The sequence below is a fragment of the Homo sapiens genome, chromosome 11, assembly GCF_000001405.40.
Source record: "Homo sapiens chromosome 11, GRCh38.p14 Primary Assembly".
Lineage (NCBI taxonomy): Eukaryota > Metazoa > Chordata > Mammalia > Primates > Hominidae > Homo > Homo sapiens.
In genome coordinates, this window is record NC_000011.10 from 126,558,287 (window position 1) to 126,566,364 (window position 8,078).

At 47.3% G+C, this 8,078-nt stretch overlaps 1 protein-coding gene and 1 long non-coding RNA gene across 18 annotated transcripts in view, besides 1 other annotated feature; one reads left to right on the forward strand and one right to left on the reverse strand.

The window, feature by feature from the left end:
* Positions 1 to 8,078, reverse strand: part of KIRREL3 (kirre like nephrin family adhesion molecule 3) — a 580,037-nt gene that overhangs the window by 134,929 nt on the left and 437,030 nt on the right. For all 17 annotated transcript variants that reach the window (NM_001441257.1, NM_001441258.1, NM_001441262.1 and 14 more), the window contains one exon: positions 4,549 to 4,626. In NM_001441257.1, the coding sequence (NP_001428186.1) occupies positions 4,549 to 4,626 (78 nt within the window). The remainder of the gene's footprint in view (positions 1 to 4,548; positions 4,627 to 8,078) is intronic.
* Positions 1 to 8,078, forward strand: part of KIRREL3-AS1 (KIRREL3 antisense RNA 1) — a 68,564-nt gene that overhangs the window by 14,460 nt on the left and 46,026 nt on the right. The window lies entirely within an intron of this gene.
* Positions 6,063 to 6,748: an enhancer, noted in NCBI's record as "OCT4-NANOG hESC enhancer chr11:126434244-126434929 (GRCh37/hg19 assembly coordinates)". NCBI's record gives its function as "activates a minimal SCP1, AML or CMV promoter by ChIP-STARR-seq in naive H9 embryonic stem cells {active_cell/tissue: H9 hESC(naive)}" and the evidence as "EXISTENCE:reporter gene assay evidence [ECO:0000049][PMID:30033119]".

Sequence of the window (8,078 nt, forward strand, 5' to 3'; positions counted from 1 at the left end):
TCTGGTCTGTGTCCCTCACTCCAGGTCTCCCCTGATTTTCTGCAAATCAACTCAAGTTTTCCCTGTGTTCTGCCCTTTCTTCTCCCTGCCTTGCCACTTCCTCTCTTTCCAGCCACCCTGAAAAATGAAACCAAGCTGAAGTGTTAGAGGCTTTCCCTCTGCTCATGGTCTCAGCCTCCTCTTCCAGAAGTCTAAGAGCCCTGGGTGTCTGGAGCCCTGGGCTGTGGTCCTGGCTCTTCCAGCCACTTCATATGGGCCCCGGGCAAGTTGCTGCATGCTCTTGGGCCATGCTGTGTTATTGGGTTGCACTGTAATCTCTAGAGTTGTTGACAGGTCTAACATAGAGGAGGCCTGAGCTCTCTGAGGCAGGCACAGCCCCTCCCCTGATACATGTGACAGCCTTCTACTCTGCCTGGGAATAGGATCAGGTCTGGGGAAGCCATGTGCTTTGAGAAGGTGAGTGGTCTGGATCTCCAGGAGAGAGAGGTCATAAAGGGGGAGGGCCAGGAAGGGGAGGTGAAGGTTGTGTGCGTGTGTGCACACATGTGGGTGTATGTGTGCATGTGTATACATGTGTGCAGGTGTGTGCATGCATGTGTGCATGTATACATATGCATGCAGGTGTGTGCATTGTGTGTGTATGTGTGTGTGCATGCTCATGTGTGTGTTGGAGATGTGGCTGAGGAACCAGTGAGAGTAAACTGGATCTACTTAAAGATGTCCTGAGAGCATGGGCTGGCAGTAGGTGGGGTGAGGAAGGAGAGCTGGTACAGAAAGAAGGGAAACTACCCCTGGGGAAGGCCTCCTCACCCAGCCCTGCTTCCACGACTTGCCTGGACCCTACTCCCAGGAAGGGGCTGTAGCACTGGAACTGGAAGAAAGCCTGAGAGTGAGCACCAAGGTAGACTCTAGGAATCACCCAAAACAGGGAGACCATTTTGTGGACTGTTCCACATCTGTGTGCTCTATCTGAGGCGCTCCTTTTCAATACCTACCTGACACCTGTGGGGACTTTGTACATTCCTCCATTGTCACTCAGGGCCCTAGTTAATTACCTAAATGAAAGTTGAGCGACTACTCCCTATGTGCAAGACACTGGGCGAAGGCCCAGGGAGAGGAGAGGAAGGAACAGGAGTCTTTGCCCTCCTCCAGCTGATTCTCTACATGGGACTGACAGCACATGAGGAAGCAGACCAATAAATAATCACACATCATGATAGGTGCCACTCGATACACACACCAGCTGCTGTGATGAGCACAGGGTGCAGGGAGAGGGTGTCTGTGTAATTTAGGTAGATGGAAGGCAGGATCTCTTTGTGGAGGTGACACATACACTGAGATGTATTTTTACTGTGAGCTCCTTGAGGGCAGAAAATGTGTCTTACTCTACTTTTTTTTTTTTAGATGGAGTCTCACTCTGTCACTCAGGCTGGGGTGCAGTGGCAGGATCTTGGCTCACTGCAGCCTCTGCCTCCTGTGTTCAAGCGATTCTCCTGCCTCAGCTTCCTGAGTAGCTGGGGCTACAGGTGCGCACCACCAACCCTGGCTGATTATTATTATTTTTTTTTGTATTTTTAGTAGAGACAGGGTTTCACCATGTTGGCCAGGCTGGTCTTGAACTCCTGACCTCAAGTGATCTGCCTGCCTTGGCCTCTCAGAGTGCTGGGATTACAGGCATGAGCCATCGTGCCTGGCTTGTGTCTTATTTTTATAGCTCCAGTGCTTAGAACAATTCTGGCACTTGTAAGAAATTGGTATTATTTTTATGGTATTCAATGACTGTTTGATGAATAACTGAATGATCACTCATCAGCAGTTCCTATATAAAGCACATGTGCTTAATCACATGAAGACAATGATCTCAAACAAATGTGATATTGTTATGGCTAGTCTGTCTTTACTTCCTCCTTTCTTGCCTGCCCTTTGTTGATTTCTGTTTGTATCTCCTTTTGATGGCTCAATTGTGTTGGGTCCACACAGTAGAGGACACACACGCACACACACACATACACTCTCCATATATTACCAACCACCTCCATTCCTGCAAAGACTGCAGATTCTATCCACGAAGCTATTAAGCACTCCCAAATAGAGCAAACCTCTCATTGACTATCACGTGCCTCCTTAAATGATCTTTGAATAGCATTTTCTTTTTATTGCTTTGTGTAGTTTAACGGCACCAATTGCAATTACTCTAACTTATGATAAACCCCAGATCTATAAAGCTCCTGTTCATTCATTATTTTCCTCTTGCTCCTTCTCAAGCTGTTATTTTTTGGAATGTAGTGAGGAGGGAGGAGTGGAGAGAGAAGAAAATAAAAGGACACCAAATTAACAGGAAAACAAATAAAATAGGGAAGCACTTCTCCCTGGGTGACAGGCACCTTATTAGATACTGTTAAACAGAACAAATATGCTTTAATACAGCACAAGTAGGTCTTTTATATTTATTCTAAATGGGAAATACAATGATCATCAACTTATCTTTAAGGGAAGAAGAAGCTAATTGTTCTAATATCTCACTAATCCTAGCAACTGGGAGAAAAATAATTGTTTTTCCCTATTTTACCAATTGTTCAATTTATACCAAGGTGTGTTGTGTAGCATGGACAGAGATTTCTATTTCTTGATGTATGTCATGGCTGCTATTCCATTTTAATTATTAATATGTGGAAATTATAATTATTTTGAGTATTGGTATGAGATAATTATAAATATAAAACAGCTCCGCATGCTTTCTGATGCCTTTCTTATCTGCAGACATGTTGGAGTTTGGGCGTATGAGCTTTAGAGAGAGAGAAATGTATAATGTGGTACTTAGGGCAGCAAGGCTGGCTGGAGTGGAAGAAGAGGAGCTTCCTCCCTCCAGAGCCCTCCCTCTCCTTCACCTCTGCCTTCCAGCTCTCCAGAGCCAAAGCTGACCCACCTGTGTCTCTCCTCTGCCCCACTGCCTCACCCTCCTCTTACCCTGTCTCTGAGTTGTTAGTTGAGATTTCTAACTCATCACACATGTTGGCTCAGCTTGCATCCCATCCCCTCATCTCCTCAGCCACCCAGAAGCTGAGGTCAGATATCTGGAGCTATGGGTTTCAATTCCAGCCCAGCTCCTGACTTTTTGGCTTCCCCAATCCCTACAAACCTCTTTCGAGCTTCTCTAATGAGCATCGCCAGCAAGAGAACATGTCTATTCAGCACCACGGACAGAGGCACGCTGTCAGTTCCCACAAATTAGAAGTTACTGCCTAGCAGTCTTGTCAAGGCAGTGGTGTTGGGGAGGGAAGGGGAGGCTGAGAAAGAGAAAAGTCAGTAAAGGCAACTGACTAGCAGGACACAGAAAATGCGGCCCCCAACTCTGGTTGTACTCAGCCATGGGGTTCCTACAAATGGGAAGTAGCTTTTTGATGCTGTTGGCTTCAGGCAGGCAGCAAATGGGGGAGGTGATCACTTCCTGTGCTTAATTGTGCTGGCCTAACTCTTGTCAGATTGTCACCATGATGGGTGCTGGAAACAGGTCCACAGCTGGCAAAGTCTCAGGCATGGGGAGCGCATGGGGATGTGGTTGTCGTGGTCGGGGTTGGGAGGAGAGACAGCTGAGGAGCTTGGAAAGAGGGCACTGAGACCATGCTATGGGGATAGAGATGGTAGAAAGAAGCTTCCTCCTTCTTGCTGGAATGGGAATGAGGAGACATGGGCCCTGGGCCCTGGAAGGGGAGGGGTCCAGCCCATGGCAAGCATGGCTGGTGGGAGCCAAGGCTTCATTTGTCTGACTTTAATGAATAAATGGCATCCCCAGCCATTGTTTATCTACTTTTGAATCCTGACAAATAGTCTGTGGCATCTGATGGAGAGGGTTATTAGCTGCATGGAGACAGATGGCTAGGGATGGAGAGGATTGGTTCTTTATTACAGCAGACCCGTAAGTGACAGCACTCCTCCTCCCAGCCTCTATGCCAATGTCAACACGTTTCTCAAGCCTTCAGTGACCCAATGAAGCCAGTGCAAGAGGAAGACAGAATGGCCTCTGAGTAAGAGGGAGGGGTAGGGTCAGTGGAGTTGGGAAAGGGGGCAGGTTTCCTAGGGTAAGTTCTTTGGGAATAAAGACATTGCCATATTCTTCTTTGGTATTCTCCTAAGTGCCTGTATAGTGCTGTTTATTCAACAGGCATTCAAGAAACATGAGTGATGGAGGAGGCAAGTAGAGAGGTCTGGATTAGAAATGAAAATAGGAGCAGATTTAATTGGGCTGGCTGTGGGGTGGGGTGCGGAAGAAATGGTAGGGAAGAGAGAGGAAGAGAAGTAGGAGACACAAAGGGAGAAGGGAAGATTGCATAAAGAAAATGCCCCTGAATCAGCATCCTGTGTTTCAGGCATTCACTATGCTTCCCCATGTGATTGTACAAATGGCTTCATGGAAACCAAACTGGTCTTCCCACTGTCCCCTTCTGAGAGGTCCCAGGTTCTTATTCCTGGTTCCTCTGTCCTGTGGCTGTAGGGGAGAGCTTCCTCCCTCCAGATTACTCCCGAGACAATGGGGAGGTTCTCACTGACCTTCATTCATTCTCCGAAACTTGTCCTTGGCCATGTAGCCCAGCACCAGACAGCATCCTCTCTTCTGGAGGCCCAGCTCTGGAAGAGAAGCATAGGTGGGTGAGTTGGGAATGGGAACAGGTCAGGCATTGTTGGGGGGCCCTCTGCAGGGGGCTGTGGAGCTTGTTGCTCTTATAAACAGAGGTGCTTTTGTTTAGCCAACATTTATATGGAAATTGTTATGTTCCAGGCATAAGTTTAAGCCAGCAATTCTTCATTTTGATTCTCATAACAACCCTGTGAAGGATGTTTCCCCATTTTCTATCATCCCCATTTATAGATATATGAAGTTAGTGGCACTGGATGAAAGAGCTAGCAGGTGGTAAAGCCAGAGCTTTGAACCTAGGCAGTCTGGCTCTGAGTCCATGCTCATAAACATAACTCTGGGTTATTGAGGCCCTTTGTATCTCAGGCTTGGGGACTATGCTCAGATCAACTTGGGACTGTGGCCAGACCTGCCAGGGATGATGCAGAATCTATCCAGTCGTGTCTAGGATGGAACAGTGCAACCAGACATGGTGGGTGACTCAGGAGGATGAAGTGATTGCGTGAGTTTAGGGCAGCGGGGCGACACAGAGGTTAAGGTATAGGCAGAAGAGCTCTCTCTACCTTTTGGAGAGGGTGCGTTTCTGGTGCTAGAGATTCCTGTGCCTTCCTATATCAAGGCCCAATTTAGCACCATCATCAAGCACTTATGAAATGTAGACTTAGAGCACAGGGGTCGAGATAGCTGAGAGACACGGACTCCACAGGGCTTTGACCCAGTTGGAAAAACAAGATGGAATAACAATTCCAGGTAGCAAATGCAAGAGATAACTTTTTTATTTGCACAGTATTTTGTAAATCAGTGTCCATTGTGTGTGTGAGCATTAAATTGGAGTCCATCTGCCTCACAAGAAGGCAAGCTTTCCTCTCTGGTATTTGTGCTTTATCCTGATTCATCTTAATCACTTTATGGATCCTGAAGCAATAGCACACTAATTTTTTTGACCCCCCTCTACCCCCAAACAACTCACTGAGGTGGGCATATGGGCCACTGCAACTGACATTATGCAGATGGGAAAATTGAGGTTCAACCATGTTAAATGACTTCCCACGATTGTCTTAGACCCCCACCCCACCTTGTAGCATAGAAGTCTTACAAATGTGTCAGCTGCCACAAACTTGGTAAATAGATAAGGAATTTGATTTCTGGAAGAGGGAATATGACTGCAGCTCTTCCTGGCCCTTGCCAGGGTTTCTGGGCTCCTCCCTGCTCCTTCCTTTGATTTCTCAGAGAAAGAGGGTCCCAATGAGTGATGCATCACAGCACCTTCTCCCACGACACCGACTGCCTCCCTGAACCCAGCCAGTCAGTGTCTAGGCTCAAGAGGATAGACGGAGCGGGTCATTCCTCTTTCTCCTCTTCCATCCACCGTCTGCAGCCCAGGTCCACCCACCAAGCATAGCAGGATGAAAGAGAGTGCAGGGCCCATGAGACACAGATAAGTCAAGCTCAGGGGCTCTTGCCCTAGAGAAAAACAAAACATGGCAGGAGGTGGCAGAACGCCACGGCCCAGGGAGGTCCCTGGCTTTGATCTCCTGATTCTTTAAAGGGGTTTATTGACTATCAGTAAAGAGCAGAGAAGCAGATCTGAGGGCACTGTTTCCAAAGGCACTCACTTCTCTTCCTTCCCCTCCACACTGGCGTCTGAAGGCTTAGCCAAACCGCCCTCACTTCAAACGGTCTTACATCTCAGGCACCCAAATTGACGATGTTAAGTTCCCTCATTCAAGGCCTTGGCCCTTTCTTCAGGGGCTCCTGCTCTGTCGCAGGCCTCATGGATCAAAGCCCCTTTGATGTTTACTTACTGTATTTGTGGATTCTTTCTAACAACCACCTTCAAGAGGCAGGAATGCAGCCTTCCAGGAGGGGGCCAGTGGAAGTACAAGCTGCGAGGAGGTGCTGAGCTCCCTGGAACAATAGCCTCTCGAGGGAGACTGTATTGAAACCTCAACACGCTGACGACAGGCAGAGTTAACCAGCCCATTGTAATTGCACACGCATTGTTCATCATTAGAATGATACAATTGCTGACAATTCCTATTATATTTTTGCCATTGACTTCGTATGCCCATCTAAAGCACATCAGCAATGGCTCCTAATGAGAAAGGGAGTTTGGGCTCCTGGACTAAGCCCAAACTCAATCCAGGAGCTTGGGAGGGAGGCAGGGGAGCACTGAGTAGGGAGGGCAGAAGATACTGGATGGATTTAGGCCAATGTTCCAGCTGGTCTTCTGGACTGTGACTGAACGCTCAGGCAAATGGAAGGGCGAACAATTCTCTTACAGATTTAGAGAGTGTGAGCAATCTGTTGACTCTGGATTGTCTTAGTTGGATAGAGAACTCAACCTCTCCTATGCCACATACTAGGACACCCCCCAGGGCAACTGCTTGAGGAGAGGCTGTGTGGACAAGTGGTTATGATATAATAACTAAGAGTCTCACTGATTATGTTTGATTTTTGCAAATGAGCAGGAAAAGAAGTTTTAAAAAACCTGATTAATAAAAGAAATTGAGAATGAGGCAATTTCTCAATGTATTTGGCTCATTTAATTTGACACGCGTGGGTTAGTCTTAATTATTTAGGCGGCTACGTTACAAGGCGCTAATAAGCACACTGCAGAAATTTATTAAGTGCGAGGGCTCTCTGACTGAGACTTTGTAGAGAAGTGGGGAGAAGCTACTGGGATCTTTGCAAGAACGAGCAGGTTGGAGGATGAGTGAAGTGAGAATTAGTTAATTGTCCATATATGAAAATTTGGGATGTCCTTTGGAGAGATTTGCAAAGCTAAATTAAAGGTCATTGGGTTCACATGAGTGTGCCAGCAGGGAGTGAAGTGGGGGAAGGGAGGGGATGCTGGAAACCCAAGTGGGGAGGTGAATATTGTCCAAGCTACTAACCACAGAGAGAACCAGGAGGAAGCAGGAGGCAATTGCTTTGGCTTGGGGAGACTCTACCAAGCCAAACTAACTAGGTTATTAGGAGAGAGATGATAGAACATGACAGAAAGAACAGGAATCTCTCTCTTTGTGAGGTAGATCAGCCACCACCAGACTGTCACCTTCCTTGTCCCATAGCATGGAGATGAATGGGAGAGTCAGATCACAGATGCACATTTTGGAACAGTAAGATGATGGGATCTTCTCCAAGTAGGCTTTGGGGGTGCTGTCTTTGGCTTTATCAGTAGCAGAAACACCCAGATACTCTAAAGCTGGCTATGGAAAAATAATTACCATGAAAGGAGTCAGCCCTGGCTTAAAAGGAAAGTTCATAGCAAGGAAGTCCAGGGTCACCTGCAGATGGGGCAGTGGAGGGCACTGTCCCAGGAACAAGGAAGGTTTAGGAATACCACCTGTGCAAGGAAAAATGGATTGGAGTAGGGTATGTTTCTTAGGGAGAAGATAAGTTTGCACCCTTGGGAACTCCTGGCCTCTGGACTCTGAGCAAC